Source organism: Homo sapiens, chromosome 1, assembly GCF_000001405.40.
Source record: "Homo sapiens chromosome 1, GRCh38.p14 Primary Assembly".
Lineage (NCBI taxonomy): Eukaryota > Metazoa > Chordata > Mammalia > Primates > Hominidae > Homo > Homo sapiens.
This window is the reverse complement of record NC_000001.11, coordinates 76301277-76320762: the sequence shown is the minus strand read 5'-3', so window position 1 is coordinate 76320762 and position 19486 is coordinate 76301277. Positions and strand designations below refer to the sequence as shown.

Sequence of the window (19486 nt, the reverse complement as noted above, 5' to 3'; positions counted from 1 at the left end):
AATGTATATATATATTACATGTATGTATTACTCCTATGTCTAAATAGGAGTGTGGTCTTTCCATAATCCCACTCACATTCCCAGATCATAATTACCCAATGAATGCATTTTCTATCTTCTTCTATATTCCAGAGTAAGTTCCAGCCAGGTTGACCTATGTATTACCTGTACATGTGCCTGACTTCCTTCTCTGGAAGTCAGAGGATTGCAGAGGCCTGGGCAGTACTTCAGGGGCCCCTTGGAAATGGGGAGTTGTGTCCATGTCAGGGGTACACAGAGAGAAGCATTATTAGAAGTGACCCCCTACATAGTATGCAGGGCAGTAGGGCCAAGGTAAGAGCACTACAAGACTAGATAACCAGCCAAACAAAAAGAAGAGCCACACGATTAGGACTAAAGGTATTGAATCCAGAGAAAGGTATGAAATGGATCCACCAAGTGTGAGGCAATGACGATTACCAGCATAGACATTAGGGCTTTACTGTAGCTTTCCATATAGTGTCCTTGGCCTACTGGGAGTCATAGGGGCTGAAGGAAAATGCACAATACATATTCTGAACCTTTGCTTTTTTACCCAACTCTGCTTTGTCTTCTTCCTCTGTCCCATCCAAATCTTTCTCCAAAGCACATGTCTCACCTCTCCCACAAAAGCTTCCTGGAAATATTCTAACCCACAGTGGCATCTGTCCTTCTCATCTGGCACTCATAGATTGTCTGGAGATATGGTCATTGATTGAAAGTTGCTATTTCACAACCAGACTGAGAAACATAGTCATCTCTTCTCCACTCAAAAAATATATCCTTTCATACTTGAGAAAAATGATAAATTATCCTTAAAATGACAAATCCAATACACACATGTCAAATTCATTTGGGAGTAAGAGCATGGTACAGACATGCTGGTAGGGGTGGGGCTGTCAGAACAAAGGATGAAATCAATGAGGAGGGTGGTAAAAAGTCACAAAGTTTTGATTTATTATATGTTAATTTAGCTGTTTCCTTTTCTATAACATTTAATACTCAAATTTCATTTTGCTTTATGATTACATAAATGGGAATGTTCGGATTTTAATTAACAATTAAATGGATCAGTTTTAAACTTTTGGGACATACATTTGCACATAATTGCTCTCAATATACTTACGTAAAACCCAAAGCCTCTATTACCAAATATAGAAAACCTATTCATGTCAGCTTTAGTTACATGTGTACATTTATTTAAATGTGTGGAGTGTGTGCTTTTATCACCAAGAAAGTCAGCTCTCTTCCTTAATTGTTACTATAACCATAATTTGGGAAATTCTATTGCAACATCAATATGTTATGCACATCTTTAATTAGGCTAGTGTGGCCTGTCTGTCACAGCAACTGATCCTAAATATTCCTATTTAGTCTACTTGAGGTTTTAAAACGTTCTCATTTTTTAAAGAGGCATACTTCAGCCTCATTAAATTGTCGAGTAAGTCAGTATGCAGCCCTGCACTTGCTTCCTGTGTTCTGGCAATCTTGCACCTCTCCACTTGGCACATTTCAGGCACCCAGGGAAAGGGCACTCTTCCCCAAATACCAGAAATCCTCTGTAGCCCCAGCATCTTAAGGGGAAGATCCTATCAGGTCTAAGGAAGACATCTGTCACCCTCACTGATTACCAATAAGATCTGGCCTTGGCATCCTATTGATCACCCAAGCTGGATCCTTTCATCTAGCAGTAAATGCAAATAAACTGCAGGCTGCTTGCTCTGAGCAATGTCTTCACACCAGGTCACACAACAAAAAAGACAACACAATGACTGAGTCCCTCATAGGCAACTACAAATAGAACCTAGCTTGAAGTTCGTTTTCTCCTTTTTCCCAAAAATCTGCCATGATCTCAACAGGAGAAAGCAAGATTACCTTGAACCAAGCCCTGGACTACCTTAGTCCTTTATACCTCCTCTGTCTGCTATAATTAATAATTTAAAATAAATAGCATTTGTTTCAAGGGGAAAATAGGGTTTTAGGATATTGTGAAGCACGTTTCTGTTTTTAATTTTTTTCTGGAAAAATACATGGGTGACATATACTTTTTACCATATCCAAAGCCAGTTGATAATACAGTAATTCTGCCATAATGCTATAGGTGGAATCTCCACATTGTCATTTTTAAAATGGGGGATTGCATTATAGACACGGTAATGACACAGCAGGGAGGCGAGGGCAGGGTCTGTTGCAAAATCTAAATCACTCCTGATCCAAGCTTTGGTTTGAAATCATGGTTGCTATCAGCTTAAACACGTGTTGATGAGAAATTTGGGGCTCCGTGGCCAGCGAAGACTTTCAGAATTTCAGCACTCACCCAGTTAGTTGGCACTCATTTTTCTTCCCTGCTTCTCAAGACTTCCCCTCCCCCATAGAAAAGAACCTTAGCTTACACTCATTGAGAAAGTGAAGGGGAGACTGGGTAAAGGTAAAGAGTTAAAGCCAATCACCAACTCTGTTATATTTAGATCATCATTATTACAGTGGGAGGAATATTTTGATCTTTCTATTTAACCCCTTTATAATAGTCATCACAGTTTTCACATGCTCTTTTTTATGGATCTACATCAGGGAAAAAAATAAACAGCTTGAAATATAAGCAAAACCACATCTCTCCTGTGTTCCTTTTATTTTAATTTTTGTATTTCCCCTGGGAACAGATTATTTTTTTTAAAAAAAACAGATTAATTGATAAAATGAAGCAGAGCTTAAACTGGGTATAATTTACTATATGTGGGGCCTTCAGGGCAGGCTGTCATAGATTCACAAACCAGCTATATTTTCACTTGTGCCAATCCAAAGGGACCAGAGTCATCTATTTTTAAAAGATAACTAAAGAATCAGATTTTGCTCCTAAGCAACCCTACACTCCACAGTGTCCACTAGATGTTTGACCTAATTCTGCTGCCTCCCATTCCACTTTTCTTTAGACAGTAGTAAAGAGACATTCTTTCTTGTAATCATTTCAGCTCATAAAATCTATGACTAGTTACAGCAACTTCTGGCCAAGCTGAAGCATCAGGCAGTAAACCCATCATTAACAGCCATGGTGTTTGCAGATGCTCTAGGTCTGGAAATCACTGCTGGCATGCCTGCATATTTAAAAAAATACTAAGAAGTTTAGTAATTTCCAGAAACCATATGCATTTAAGGGGAAAGTCTTCTGAGAAAACTTTAAGGGCCAAGATCTTGAAATAAGTAGATCAGCTTGGTGATCACCTGACTCAGTTCAGCTAAGCCTATTGACCTTCTCAGAATTAGAATAGAATGAATAGGGACTTAGTGTGTGATAATCTCTGAAGCATGGTTTTGTGGTCACTATTTAAGCTATTTGTCCTAGAACACTGAACTCACCACCTATCATTTCAGCTATATTACTTTGGCTCTTGAAAGCTTTATCATACTGTGTCTCTTATTTAATGTAACCATTTCTGCAACGGATTGCGCCTGAGGACATTACAGTGAGAACAAATGCACAATCATTTGGGAGTAAGAGCATGGCACAGACATGGTGGTAGGGGTGGGACTGTCAGAACAAAGGATGAAATCATTGAGAAGGGTGGTAAAAAGTCACAAAGTTTTTATTTTCTCCCGAGTTAGCCTAGAACTACTTGAATTTAGGAGAAAATCTGTCATTCCCTTTGAGTGTTCTAATGTTTTCAACTTTCATGCAAAATTTTCTGCTCTATCACCTGCATTCATGATGCAATATGGGGTCTATCATGCATAGACCAGAACTAGAGAAATAAGTTGCTTATGTGTCTGTTAGTCTTTATAGAAAATCAAATTGCCTATTTCAAATATTCCTAGTTTGCTTTAGATAGCTTAATATCCCATTGCTTCTTTTTAGTTATTTCCTGCTGCTGAATTAGGTGAATTGTTTTGTATGATTCCTTCCCCATGGTAAATGGTAAATAAACATCCTTCCTGGGATCAGAATATATTTTGAATTTTTTAATAAAATAGACATACAAGTCCAAAAACCATAAATTTATACTTAATAAATGGACTGTGAACATCTGTGTAACCTCCAACAGGATCAACAGATAGTATATTGCTAAATCCCCAGAAACCCATTCTGATCACAAGCTGCCCACTCCTCTCAGAGGTAACCGCTAGACCCCCTTTCATAATAATAATTTCCTTGCTTTTTTTTTCCTTTTTTAGTTTACCGTTGTATATGTCCCTAAGCAACATTATTTAGTTTAGTCTCTTCTTGTGACCCATAAACGGAATCACATTGTGTACTTTGCTTTATCTTCCATGTGGTCACATATACTTGCAGTTTCTTCATCGCCATTGCTGTATGGTATTCCAAATGTATGTGGCACGACTCTAATTCATTCTCCTACTCATCAATATTTAGGTATATTCTAGGTTCCGGCTACTAGGAAAAATGCTGCTACATGTTCTGTCCATGCCTTCCAGTGCACGGGTTCATGAGCACCTCTAGTGTAGATATCCATGACTAGAAATGGTTGGGCATACAGCATGTAAATCTTCAACTTTGCTCAATACAACAGTGGAGCTGTTTTTTCCAAAGTGGGTATTACAATTTTTACTCCCACTACAAGTATACAATAGTATCTGTTGTTCCACATCCTCGTCAACACTTGGTATTGTCAGACTTCTTAATTTTTTGCCAATCTGGCGTTTCATGTATATTAGTATCTCTTTGTGATTTTTAAATATTTTTCTCATTGTGGTTTTAATTTGTAAAACCATGATTACTAATGAGATTGAGAACCCCTACATGTGTTTATTCCCCCAAGTCCAGGATCTTTAAAATGTACATATAAATTCTGGTACTCTGGACTGTGATAATTTGATGTTATTCATACTGAACACTTTATGCCATACTGGAAAGTACAGAGAAAGCAAAAGCAATTCATTCATTGAATAGCAATTTGGAGCTGGGAACCTCATATACTTCGACTTATTTTATCCTCAAAATAATTTTGCTAGGCTGATGTTGTTATCCTTATTTTGCAAATAAGGAAATTGGGGCTCTGAGGTTAAGGAAGTTACCCAAAAGCAAATATACTGCTTAAGTTCATTAAATGTTAGAACTGACTCTCAAACCATGCCTGTGTGCTTCCAAAGCCCAGATTCTTTCCAGTAACTATGTTTTCTCCTAAGAAATAACCTTTGCAGGAGCAAAATAATATTCAATATTCTTTTGTAAAATCATTGTATTAAAAACTACATCAAAATAATTTCAAAGATAGCCCAGTTAATAGAACTAATTAAATAACTGCATCCATAGGTCAGTTTTTCCTTTCACACTCCGAAATCAAATTCATTAATATTTAAAGAAATGAAAGGGTCTTTGATATTTGACGGGATTTCCCATATGAGAATACTTCGTGAGACATTTTAGTCACATGTTTCATTTTCAGCCTGTGACAGGCACTTGTGAATTGATTAACACCATACAGTAGAGTTATAGAATATTAAATGATAGCCAGAAATAAAAGTAACAAAAGATGAGGGTGAGACAAACTCTCCTCAAAGAGATACATTTTTATATAGGTAATCAATTTATTAGGACACTCAACAAATTCAAGCAATAGACACTGTAAAAAAATTAATTTAAAACCAATTAGAGGATAAACATCAAAGATTCTAAGAATTTATGTGTTATTAATGGTGCTTTTTTTCAACTATAAAATTCTAATAAAGGCCTGTAAATCCTGCAGATACAGAAACAATTTTCGAAGAATCAAATTAACCAGAAGCAATGACTCAGATATGAGATTGACTACAAAAGGGGGTAGACCAAGCTTAGCATCCTCCCAGAATGCTAAGAATAACTCTCAGGACAGGAGTAGCATTCCATGCATGACTCTACCCTCTAGTATCTTTACAAAATGACCTTTCGATGGGAGCTGATCCAAGACTCTCCCTAGTAATGTAGACACACTGGTAGCTTGTACCTTTGTTACCAACAATTTCAAACAGGCTTGGACTTTGTGTCTCTGAATATTAAACTCACATTCATCCAACTCCATAGAAATGAATAGTGAAAACAATTTTATTAAGCACTTCTATATACATCACATATTTTGTGAGGTTCATTATTTTTATTTTACTTTATGAGACAAATGCTTGCTTGCAAAAGCGCTAGCATAGTGTGCACTTTCTAGTTGTCAATATACCTCCATCCTCTCCTGTACTACCAATTGGCTACAAAGATTTAAAGCTTCTGTGATTATAGGATTTACACGATTTTAACCCCTTTAAATTTGAAAACTCTTTAAATCCCATTATCTCTGCAGCCACTGCAAATTTTAAAATCAGCTTGGCCTTTTCTAGCTCCAGGTCTAAGGATTACAGAGTTTTAAGGAGTATAAATGCATTTTTGAAGTTCTATAAAGAGCTCTCCCCAACCAGTTGACCTACAGGAAATCAAGCCAGCTAGTTCTCCAGCTGGTAACTGCTAATCAGAGCTTCTAAATGGAGAGATATGTACGTTGTGCCACAAACCACCAGGAAAACAAGTAATTGCTTCCTTGACTCCATATGAAGCCAGTGAATCAGAAGATTTAATGTAGGAGGGGTGGCAGATTTAGACATTTGTCAGTAAATGTCTAAGAATAATAAGACAGAAGATGTTGTCAGGGACCCAAGCAAGCTCTCCGGGGCAGACAGAGTAAGTTCAGTGAGTTGGAAGCCCTCTGGCTCCTAAAGAAAAGCTGTTACCATGGATACTCTCCAACTGCTAGGTAACCCTCTGGGATCTTACCTCTTGTGTCTTCACATTTATGTATCCATAGTGAGTTCGAAGGGGCCGCCTGTATGTGTAGGAGAATGGTATCCACTTTGTACCAGGTTGTCCAAAGCAGTTTAGTAGCAATGGGAAATTCACTTCATTTACAAGACGCACAACCAGCAGGAAAAGGAACGCTGCTATGAAGCTCACAGCAATCACAGACTTTCTCTACAAAACATTAAAAAAACAAAAAGAAGAACGAATGACTTTCAACCAAAGGCAGTCACAGAAGGAGGTTCCTTTATTCTTCTCTTTTTCTTTCATAGGGGTCGAAGGATTCTGTCATTCAGCATATTTTACCTGGAAATGGAAAATAATTATTTGGTGACCAAATTGTCCTAGTGTGCTGGGCTGCTGAGAGCAAGCAGAGCTGCTTTCTTGAACTCTTCCATTGCATCTCCACCCTTCCTTATCTCACTATATTCCTTGTACACTCCTATTCAGTTTGCAAAACCCCAATCAGACATTTCCAATGACAGGAAACCTTTTCTAATTGCTCAATCCCCTCCTCACCACCATGCTTTGACCCCCAACCTATCCACTCTAACAGAGGTAAAGTCCCATCATTCCCATAATTTAAAGACACTTCTATTGTTGTACTTTTTCACTGTGTAATTATTTATGTGATTTTCCTACATGGATTTGTGAGTTCTTAGAGAACTGGAATGTACTGTGTCATCTTGATCTCTGTATCCCAGGCTCTTAACATGGTACCTTACATACTACAGGCATTCAAAGAACATTTGAGTGAAACAAATGAATGAATAAATAAATGAATGAATGGATGTTCACATTCTTGTAGACACAGTATCATTATCACTCATTCTTCTGTTTCTGTATCTAGCACCCTGTATGAGTAGGAAACTCTGCCTGTGCTATAGGATTTGCAAAAGTAAGATTCAAAAAAGTAACAAGAGGAAAAAAAAATTATGCCAAGCAGCAGAACATTCCTCTAAACATACTGCCATGGAAGAAAAACAGGAACAACTGCATCCGATTGAGAAGAGAGAAAGCAAAGATGTCTTTGAAATTGAGCTTGATAAAATGCATGTGTTTTAATTGACAGATATGTGTGAACAGAGCTTTCCAGAGAGAGGAAACAGCACGCAGACAAGAATACATACAGTTACTCATAGGCGTACAGTAGTTTGTCTTACTGGAGCACGAAGAAGGAGAAAAAGCTAGAAACACAAATGATAACTTTATTCTGAATTGCCTCAGATATCAAGCTAATACATCTATACTAAGTTTGCTAGGTGATGGAAAGCCAAAAGAAATTTTGTTTTGTTAAAGGGGACAGTTGGCCACATAAATGTCTTCTTCTGAGAAATGTCTGTTCATATCCTTTGCCTACTTTTTGATGGGGCTGTTTATTTTTTTATTTTTATTTTTTTTTTGTAAATTTGTTTAAGTTCTTCATAGATTCTGGATATTAGCCCTTTGTCAAACGGATAGATTGCAAAAATTTTCTACCATTCTGTAGGTTGCCTATTCACTCTGATGGTAGTTTCTTTTGCTGTGCAGAAGCTCTTTAGTTTAATTATATCCCATTTGTCTATTTTGGCTTTTGTTGCCATTGCTTTTGGTGTTTTAGTCATTAAGTCTTTGCCCATGCCTATGTCCTGAATGATACTGCCTAGGTTTTCTTCTAGGGTTTTTATGGTTTTAGGTCTTATGTTTAAGTCTTTAATCCATCTTAATTTTTGTATAAGGTATAAGGAAGGGGTCCAGTTTCAGTTTTCTGCATATGGGTAGCCAATTTTCCCAACACCATTTGTTAATTAGGGAATCCTTTCCCCATTGTTTGTTTTTGTCAGGTTTGTCAAAGGTCAGATGGTTGTAGATGTGTGGCATTATTTCTGAGGCCTCTGTTCTGTTCCATTTGTCTATTTATCTGTTTTGGCTGAAGCCAACAAACATATGAAAAAAAGGTCATCATCACTATTCATTAGAGAAGTGCAAATCAAAACCACAGTGAGATACCATCTCACACCAGTTAGAATGGTAATCATTAAAAAGTCAGGAAACAACAGATGCTGGAGAGGACATGCAGAAATAGGAACGCTTTTACACTGTTGGTGGGAGTGTAAATTAGTTCAACCATTGTGGAAGACAGTGTGGTGATTCCTCAGGAATCTAGAACCAGAAATACCATTTGACCTAGCAATCCCGTTACTGGGTATATAACCAAAGGATTATAAATCATTCTGCCATAAACACACATGCACACATATGTTTATTGCAGCACCATTCACAATAGCAAAGACTTGGAACCAACCCAAATGCCCATCAATGACAGACTGGATAAAGAAAATGTGGCACATACACATTATGGAATACTACACAGCCATAAAAAAGGATGAGTTCATGTCCTTTGCAGGGACATGGATGAAGCTGGAAACCATCACTCTCAGCAAACTAACATGGGAACGGAAAACCAAACCCCACATGTTCTCACTCATAAGTGGGAGTTGAACAATGAGAACACATGGACACAGGGAGGGGAACATCACACACCGGGTCCTGTCAGGGAATGGGGGGCTAGGAGAGGGAGAGCATTAGGACAAATACCTTATGTAGGTGACTAGTTGACGGGTGTAGCAAACCACCATGGCACATGTATACCTATGTAACAAACCTGTACATTCTACACATGTATCCCAGAACTTAAAGTATAATTTTTTTAAAAAAGAAAAAAAAGGCGGGGTGGGGGGAAGTTATGAGTTATAATCAAACATCAGTGTTTAAGATGCTTTGGAGCAGGGAGAGAGTATAGGTAGGCAGTGACTAGTTAGGAGGCTATCCCAATTGCCTAGGACAGAGGTAATGAGGGATGAAAACTAGGGCAGAAGAAGAAGAAATAACAAGGTGGAAAAAGATGTGAGAAACTTGATTTAGGTGGGAGAAATAGAACTTGGGCTACTGACAGGACAGAAGCGGCTGACGGAAAATTCAGAGATTCCTCAGATTTGGGGTCCATGTGACGGCAATATTATGGGTCATATCAGAAGAAACCAGAGTTGTCAGAGCAGGAACTGACATAAGATAGTAAAAAGATAAAGCCCTTGACTTTCTAGTTTTCAGCAACTGTCAAGGAGTCAGGTGGAAGGTAAGTCTAGAGCAAGAAGGAGGACTGCTGAAGCCATGAAGTGCAGGGTAAAGACACAATAAAATATTCTTTCATATAGTTGGGCTGGGCCCCCTGATTCTTCTTCGAACTTAAGGAAAGCCACATAACTTTCTGTGAAAGACCAAAATGTTTATTGTTGTTGCATTTTCAGCTTACCACTACCCGGTGGAATTAGTTCTTTTTGCTCTTCGCAGACTCTCCTAGGGAAGTCAAGAAACCTGAAGGCAGTTCCTGTATCCTCCCAGGGCCAGGGTCACAGCCTCTGTATGGGCAATGGAACCAGCCCCCAGGAGTCAGCGATACCCAAAGGCAGTCTTGCTTCTTGCTCACCTCCCATAATTTGGAAAAGCCCCAGCCCTCCATCTCGCCAGCCTAATCTTCCAATCGCCTGAAAGCCCCTTGAGCTCTGCCTCCTCAACACCCCTTATCTCACCACTAACTACCACAGCCTTACCTCATTTAAGCTTCTAATCATGAAAAACTGTTTTAATTTGCTCCTCTGTGGAATCATTATGTCCACAACATTGCAATGTGTCAAGGTAACAGTTTAATGAAGTGATGGATCTTACAAGTTTAAAGGGACATAGACCAGAACAGATGGCTAAATAAAAGCAAAGAGGCCAGTCACCCATTAAGTAAACAGGTAAGAACCTTTTTCTTAATCGTCATTTGGTAGCTTGTTGCAAAATAGCAGCTTGCTTTGAAGGAGACCCAGATGGGATTTGTGCTTTTGTTTATTCAGAGCTCAGCACGGCTCTCTGGTTCTCTTGGTTGCTATATTGCATTGCATGGCTGGGGGTTTGGGGACAAAGATGTGGATAGCCTTTCTGAATCCACTGTTGTGTGCAGCAACACATACGTATGCATACGTGAGAGAAAAATAAGTCAACCATTTTGAGAGAAATTTCAAAACAGGATGAAATAGCAGTTGTAAAAGCCTGCTCCCTGGCAACCCATGTCTGCCTCTCATGTTCTATCAAAGGGAACCAAGTAATGAGCACAGAGAGGGTGAAGGGAGCAACCAGAGAGCAGAAGCCAGACACCCTCTCCTCTGTGTGCCACTGGGAGTGGTATTCTGCAGTGGACAGAGGTTCCTTCTGCAGCTCAGGCCCCCAGCTCAGTTTCTGTTACATTGCCCGGGTTTGATTCTTTGCCCTTCTTGTTTAGCATGAAAGTGTTCTCATACTGCTAGTATGAAACCACTCTGAAATTCCACTAGAAAAGGCATACCTTCAAGTACACTGTGTGCTCCAGATGACAAGTACAACAGAATACAATGCACATGTGCCTTCTTCTAGTAGTCACTTCCACCAGATCGTGACCTCAAGCTTCAGCAACTACAATGAAAACCATGGATGAGACAGAAGGCTACACATCGCTGAATGCAATGAGAATGTGTGTGTGTCATAGGGATGTGGGAGGTGGGGAAGTGAACAAAGTACTAATATGCATGATATACATGCATGTCTCACATGTATATCATGCAATACATACTAAAGAATTTACATCTTCAAGCCACAATCGCTCATTGAGTCCATACTCTGTGTAGACTTGGCTAGGTGCTGAAAAAACCGAAATAAAACCATAAAAGACACACCATGCTTCCAAAGAGTCACAACTTGGTGCAGCTGGCCAGTAAATAGAACACTATAATACCAGGTGTCAAATGATGCTAATGTGGGTATACACAGGGTGCTGTGGGAGGCCAGAGGAAGGGTAAGTATAGGAGGAACAGTTCAGGGAATGTTTGTCTGGGGTGGTGATATTCCAACAGAGTCCTGAGGACCGCGGCGGCCTCGCCAAGAGAAGATGTGAAGGGCATTCCAGGCAGAGGGCTTAACAGTTTGAAAGGCCATTAATTTGGTCAGAAAACTTGAAGTCATTTGGTCAGAAGAATACATAGACTCTAAGTGGTAGGAGATGATTCTAGACAGAGTTAAAATCATAAAACAAAAGATAATAAGCCAAATAAATGAAGTTGGATGCAATCAACTGTCCTATCTACCCTACATTAGGATAATGAAAGGATAAATGTATATAAAAGTGCAATGTTTTGCAATTCTAAAATATTCTCCACTTTCCAAACAAGTAAAAATGTATCAATCACTTCATTTTATTTGAATTACCATTTAAGACACCACAATGCCGTGTTTCAAGTTGTTTGACTTATTCCATCAATAAATGTATTCCATCTATGGCTTGTTCTAGTAACTGTTTTGAGTCCATCAACACTTAGCAAATTAGAAGACTCTACCTGTTTACACATGTGTTCTACGTCTAATGATTTATTTATGGAAGTGATTGCTGCTGCCTTTATTGAAGTAGTCAGAACATCCTTTAGATTTAACAACCACCAATTAGATTAAACAACAGTAAGTACATGTCAGTTTATAATGTATGACACTCGGCTCAACAAATTTTTCATACTGCAAAAAAATGGCATATATGCAATATAAACAGTCATTCCCCTAAGATCAGAAGCATAAATATTAAGTGATACAATGAGTGGAAAATGCAGAACACAGTACCAGGCACATAATGAGCTCTCGAGAAACAAAAGCTATTACGACATAACTACTGATGGTTACAGCCTCAGTGAACATTAGCTAGTGTTGAGCACTGGTCAGACCATATGAAATGCATAAGAACTAGAGATATTTTTTTCTTAAATATTCCAAGCAGCTGCAAACCCTTGAACTGTTCAGTGTAACTTATCCATATAAGTTCTGAGAAAATGTCACTGTGCCCAAATAGATCTGATGAATTGCTTTAGGGAAAGCTTTCTCCTTCTTTGTTCTTCATTTTGGGCAAGTCTGAAGGGGCCTTTAACAGCTGAGACATTTAGAATTTAATCCCCTCTGTGCTGCAAAAATATGCATCAAAAACATGGCATTCTAGCTGCTTGCTCTTTAGAGTGGGAATATCATTTATCAGACTTCATAGGAGAAATACCTATTCCAAAATAAAATCCACAGAAAATCCATTATTTTGGGAGAGAACACAAGTGCAAAGATCCGGACCTAGCAAATTTGCAATCTATATTAATATGTATATGTTTTTATTCTTTCTACTGTAGAAGTAGTCTTTAACCACAAAATAAAATCTTTAACTTTTAATCCAGTCTATTGTCAGATGTTTTTGTTTTCTTTTTCCTAAATTATAACCAATGGTATAAAGTTGTGTTTTTTATTTAACTATTGTTTAATGACCAAGTATTCACTAGTGTGAAAAGCATACACTTTTGTTCACATGCTGTCATTTATTCAATAATAAATATTAAAGACAATGTCAACTGTGTTATGTGTATCAGTGCTCAGTCACTTCACACATTGATGAGTCCCTACCCATTGCTTCTTTGTGATTTTATCAAACGCTAATTATTTTCCCACATAAAAAGTTGTCTCATCAATATGTTATAGTTCTATCTTGTGCCACTGACCAAGTTCCAAATCTAATTCTCTCTGAATGCAATAAAGCTTCTTTCCATTTGCACAAAGTTGAAGTAGCAAAGCACAGAGTATATAAATAAAACCTTCATTCATTTTATTTCATCGTTGAATCAAAAATCTGGGTGTATCCCGCTTATTAAACTATAGTGAACTCTAGGAAAAACCCCACTAATTTGTTAGGGGTATGGGTAAGTAAAGAAGGCCCAAGGCTCCCATGTTCTCATAATCAGAACTAACCCTTTGGATGAAATTTATTTGTGTCTATCTGTCCAGCCACACTGAGAGACGTTGCTTTCTGGGCTCTTCATTCTATGTACTCAATATCAGTCTTCAGCTCTATCTTGTGAAAATCCTTGCTTTCTTTCTTTTCTATAAAGGGAGATATACTGAATCAATATGCTAAAGAGACTGAATGAGATAAACTTGTTTTTCATAATTTTACAAAATGAAACAAACTCAGTGAATATAGCCATGATTATTTTTATGTTATCTTGTAGCAGTTTAAAAATCCAGTCAGGCCAGAAAAACCTAAATCTACTCCCTGAATAAAATGAGAAAATGTACAGGCATGTTAAAAACTCAATGAGTTTTTTTATTATAATTTAAGAATAGGTGTTAGAAAGTTCAATGTAACCTCTTATCATGTCATCTGATACAGTCATAATGCTCATGTTAACTTGAACTTCTCAATAATGTCTGCACCCCCCGCCCCCCAAAAAAAAAAACTCCTTTGGGAAAAAAGTTCCTCAGAAAATGTTGCTACCTATAATTTTTCTCTAGGACTGGCTTTTTGCACAGAAGAATTTATTACAGTGGTACCCATGAAAACTCTATTGCCTTGATTTTTGTTTGTTGGATTTGTAATTCTTACTGGACTATAACCATGTCTGAAGGTGACATACTGACATGTGCTCTAAATTCTTAAAGTAGATTACCATGTTGAAGGCGTCCTATTACTTTTAAACTTTTTTTTAACTACCAACATTTTGTTGTTTAGTTGTGTTTTTGTTGAACAAAAGGGTCATTGGATTGTGGAGCTGAAAGAGGAAGACATACCCATTCCATCAGGTTGGTTCCTACAAACTGCCTACAATAAGAGTCTATACAATTGACTGTCAAAGGGTACCTAGTGTTCTCTAGCAGAAGTGGAAGAATAATTGCTTTATTTTCCCTGAGTGCTAACCAAGTGCACCCTGTAGTTGTCTTTTTAATACCGGGAATAAAGCCAGAGTTGGGCAAAATGAATTAAATTTATCCACAAATTGCTGATTTCAAAGTAAATGTAATTATCATGCTTCACACCAGCCTCTTAATTTTCCATATGAATTAGGTATTTTGGTTACTGACAAACTGCATTACAAAATCTACCTAAGGCTGGTACCAGTTTTTAAAATTTCTGAACCAGTTATATGAGAATGTTCCCATTAGTATGAATAACAATTAACAACTTAGTTAATTCACACACTAGAACACAGGCTCTAGAGGCAGAATATCAGAGTTCAAGTCATCTTTACCATTTTCTCCATCTATGACTTTGGGCAGTCACTTCATCTCACTATGCCTCTATTTCTTTGTCTGGAAAACTGAGATTATATAAATAATTCTCTAACTGATAACACTCATTAAACTTCATCCTCTGTTAAGACTATGATGATTATTCATGCACGTACACTCTATCTGGACTATATTCTCCTAGTAAGAGAAAAAAGGCCGATCTGAAAGTAATAATTGCTGGGTTTTGTACTGATAATTTAATATCTGCTGGTGATACCTGATGAAGTAGTCCATGTTTGCTCTTGATATTGTCTTTCCCGAAAGAGTCTTTACCACTTCCCAAACATTGGCCACACCACCTCCAGACTGAGCTTTCCAAAATCAAACCTGATCCTGTCTATCCTACATTTAGATCCCTCTGGACTCTACAGTGTAAGTGCAGACCCTTGGTATGATATACAAGACCTTCCATAATCACATCTCCTCTTGCCTCTCTAGTTCCACTCCTTCTGCCCTATTCAAAGCCTACACTCAATATATTTCTTTTACTATATCACATCTTCTTCATTAGGCTCCCGGATTCTGTCATGCTGTTCATTATCCCAAAGTGATCTTCTTTGAAATTCACATTACTACTCTTTTCTTGATGGTACCAATGATTCTAGCACCCACTATGCTGCCTAAGGCTGCCCTTCTTAAGATTAGATATGGACCTGACCCATCAGGACTTTCCATCATTTTATTACCCTGAAGTTACTTGTTTTTCCATCAAATCCTACTACTTATGGGAAGAAATGTTCTCCAATCCACCTGTTGCCCTCACTCAGATCCCACCCCTGTGCGCCGGGCATTCTGTTGAGGAAAGGGAGGTGCTAACTAACCAGGAACAATGAAGGTAATCGGAACAGGTGCTTTTGTTTAATTCTCAGCTACCTTATAGGCTTCATTGGTTGTATGTGGCTTCTGCGAACCTCTGCTTGTCATCTTTTCACTCTAAACGAGATGAGTTTGTCTCTTAGAATCCATTCGTACCTCCAAGGTGTTCAGGACACAGAAGCAGAGCATAAGTGTAAATTCTGGTGGTCCTGGTGTCATTAGGGAGGAAGTCCTGCCAGAGGCATCCCGACAATGATGAAAATGACTACGATGATAATGACATCAGCTGGAATCTCTTATTTTTCTGTGAATCTACATGACCTTACATTAAATGGCATTTATCCTCACACCTCACATGCATCTCTCTGTAACAAGTGAAGTGAGAAGGGAAGTCTCCTCTCCCATCTCTCCCTTTCCTGTCCTCCATGTTTCAAGCTGGACTTCTCAGCCTTCTCTAAAGCCCCTTTGCTATCCAGTTACTGTGACCTTGTTCATGCTGCTCCTCCTGGCCCCCTTGCTGTATTCTACCATCCTCATCTCTGCAAGTTCCAATATAACTTGCTCAGAGTGTTTCCCCCATAAAGCATTTGTTCCTCCTTGGCTTCTAGTTCATGGATAAGGGTGGGGTGGGATGGGGTGGATGGAGAAAGAAGATGGAGGAAAGAGGGAAGAGGGAGAGTGGAGGGAGAAAGGAAGGGAGGGAAGGAGAGAAAGATTCCCCCTTAATTTTGTCTTTGAAAATTTCTTCAGGACATGAACAAAATCTGAGAAATATATCTCATAAGGCAGTATCAAGCACAATGTCTTTAACAGAAAATATTCAGTAAATATTTGTGGAAGAAATGAAAGAATGAAGGAGAGAAAGAAGGAAGGACAGAGGGATTAAATGATTTTTTCTAAATATAAGTCCTAAATTATTTCAAAAATTTCAGATTCAGATTATTATAAAAATATGTTTTTTCATAAAAGAAAAAAGGCAATTTTCTTTTTTTTTCTTAATTCATCTCACTTTAAGATTTCTGTGTAGATTTGAGGTGAATGTGGTGGGGAATGGGAAAGTGAGGGAGAGGGTTAGGGTGTGAAATATAAAGAGAAGTGAGAAAAATTTAAAATATAAAGAGAAGTGAGAAAAATTTAAACATTTGTTAAACTGGACTTTTTACTAGGAAATTTACTAGGAAATTGCTTTGAAGTTCCTGATAGAACTTGTAAATCTGAATGGTGATAAACTAGTAAACCTGCTTGGAGCAACATTTTTTATATGGCACATAATGAAAAGGCTTACAAGAATCCATATTTTTTAGATAATCAACTCTTGTCTGAGATTGACAACACTTAAAGCTAGAATCCTATATCATGGAATGAGAAATAGATAACAAAAGAGTATCCTATTCTTCTGATAAGGACAATAGCTTATTTTTTAGTGGAAGGGACTTGCAACAGCTCACTATGTACTCAGCAAGTATCAGGCATTATGCCAAGTACTTTACAAAGCTAAAAGTGGATTCTCACCAGGGGTGTACCGGTAGACTCAGGTGGTCAAGTTACACTAATGAGGCAAGAGAATAGGGTCTGGAGGCAGGGAACCTAAGGCCGTTTCACGCTGACTTCCTAGGACTAAATTGAAAGAAAAACCCTAACTTTCCACTGGCTAGGTAACAAAAGGACCAGAGACCACTCCCTTTGCAAAACCCCACTTTTTCTAGGTGGCAGATTGAAAATGGAAAGTATCTCTGATTGGTTGCTTTTTGCAACCAATCAGATGCTTGCATGGGAGTGTGACCTATGAAACTTCACTTCAGCCTCTGATTAACTGCTGTCTGCAACCAATCAGACTGATTGTGGGCCAAGTCTTCGTTTGCATAGAAATGTAACTTTGTAACATCACTTTAGCCTCTGATTGGTTGCAGAAAACTTGCATAGGACTGTGACCTTTGTAACTCAGCCTCTGATTGGTTGCTTTCTGCAACCAATCGGACTGGTTGCAGACCACCACTTCATTTACATGAGGTGAACACCACTTCATTTACATCAGGCTAATGGGAAACCTCTAGGGGGTATTTGGACCTGAGAAGATTCTGCATCCAGGCCCTTGAGCCCCTTATGCTCTGGCCACTCCCACCCTGTGGAGTGTACTTTCGTTTTCAATAAGTCTCTGCTTTTGTTGCTTCATTCTTTCCTTGCTTTGTTTGTGTGTTTTGTGCAATTCTTTGTTCAAAACGCCCAGAACCTGGACACCCTCCACTGGTAACACTAAGTGAGTCAATATGTGCAACCCTGGGCACACAGCATACGTTTTCTTACCTAAAATTGGGGAAAATAAGAGTACCCATCTAATATAATTATTGAAGGTTTAAATGAGTTATCGCATATAAAAAGCCCTTAGAGCACTGCCTGGTAAAAGGAAAGTGCTAAGTAAATGTTAGCTTTTATTGTTACAGTAGTTCATCAGCTATAAGAGACCATCGATTGTTAGTCACACTGTTACTCTAAATAGAATAAGAAAGAAAAGTAAGATGGGAGTCTAATAAGAGACCTCTGCAAAAAGCTGAAACACCAAACAGCTATTCCCTTAGCACTAGAATATGCCAGAAAGAAAGCTTCCATTCAGAAAGGCACAGCAAGAAGAGAAAGAGGAAAAATAATCTTCCCTGAGAACTTGAACCACAAGCAGATACTCATGCAGGTTTCTGATACAAGTTCATACTGACAGTGCGAAAACAAACAAACAAAACACCTCAGCAAATAACTTTAAATGGTCTCAGGTTGGTAGTGACCCCAGGTGACCATGTGAAATAATGCCAATCCTCTGTGGACAAATTTAACTTTGTTGCAGGCTGACAGTGACTGCAAGGAAGTACTGAGTATAAGTATTCTTAGATAGCTGAAAATGTGGAAAAACATTTTAAAAATCAATGAAATATGGTGGTATCATTGTTGTCACCGTTGTGGTCACCACCACCACCACCATCATCATTCTAGGGAACAAAGAATCAGAAATGGTGCCTGGACTATTTTAAATGATTATCCCTCAGCCCACATCCTTAAGGAGGCATAACCAGAAGTCCATAAGGAAAGCATGACAAACAGTCCTGGAGCTGCCCAAGACATCAGAATTTACCAATGCAAAATACCTTTTTGAGATTTTTCTTCTTGTCAAGATTGCACCTGTGGAAAAAAAAAAAACTTCTTTTTTTGAACTTGGTTTAGATTATGTTGCTCATGCAGGCATATCCCACCCACTTCTCATACATAGATATCAATTGTGGTACCTCCTAGCATCTCTCTAAGGAATATACACTGTCCTCTTATAGGTCAAAGTTGAACCTCGGTAGAGTGAAACATGCATGTTAAACAGTCTTTCACCGAAACACAAGCAGAGTTTTGCTACAGCACAGGTCTCATGGTGATAATAAATAGTATTGTGCCAAGAACTCTTGAATTTCTAAGTAGGACAGTTTTCCTATCAATTCTGAATTTAATATTGCATTGACAGTCATTTGAATCACTAAAACAATATAAAGCATATGCATTTATTACGTATAGTTTCCCCTGCTAGAATAGCAAAGGCAGAAACATCTCCACTATTAGGCAGGAACCTAGATGTAAAATGCACAAGGTCTGTTATCAAAGAGCCTTTGATTTTTTTTTTAAACCATCACCAGATCACTCTGTGCCAGATTTCCAACAGTATTAGCCATCCCAATCTGGATGTCCCAGAAGCAACTCAAGTTCAATAGTCCAAAT

General features: G+C 38.3%; 1 protein-coding gene across 15 annotated transcripts in view, besides 1 other annotated feature; it reads right to left on the bottom strand.

Moving 5' to 3' along the window:
* Nucleotides 1-19486, bottom strand: part of ST6GALNAC3 (ST6 N-acetylgalactosaminide alpha-2,6-sialyltransferase 3) — a 562594-nt gene that overhangs the window by 316577 nt on the left and 226531 nt on the right. For 10 of the 15 annotated variants that reach the window (NR_146056.2, NM_001349109.3, NM_152996.4 and 7 more), the window contains exon 2: nucleotides 6764-6958. The exons of 2 other annotated variants lie outside the window; for them this stretch is intronic. Coding sequence is in view for 10 of the 13 variants with exons in the window: in NM_001349109.3 (NP_001336038.1) it covers nucleotides 6764-6958 (195 nt within the window). In the remaining 3 variants the exon portion in view is untranslated. Of the gene's footprint in view, nucleotides 1-6763; nucleotides 7091-11150; nucleotides 11258-19486 lie in introns of all 15 variants that reach the window. 3 more of the 15 variants (NM_001349111.2, XM_047417099.1, NM_001349106.2) reach the window with 2 other exon arrangements.
* Nucleotides 16980-17619: an enhancer, noted in NCBI's record as "NANOG hESC enhancer chr1:76768829-76769468 (GRCh37/hg19 assembly coordinates)". NCBI's record gives its function as "activates a minimal SCP1, AML or CMV promoter by ChIP-STARR-seq in naive H9 embryonic stem cells {active_cell/tissue: H9 hESC(naive)}" and the evidence as "EXISTENCE:reporter gene assay evidence [ECO:0000049][PMID:30033119]".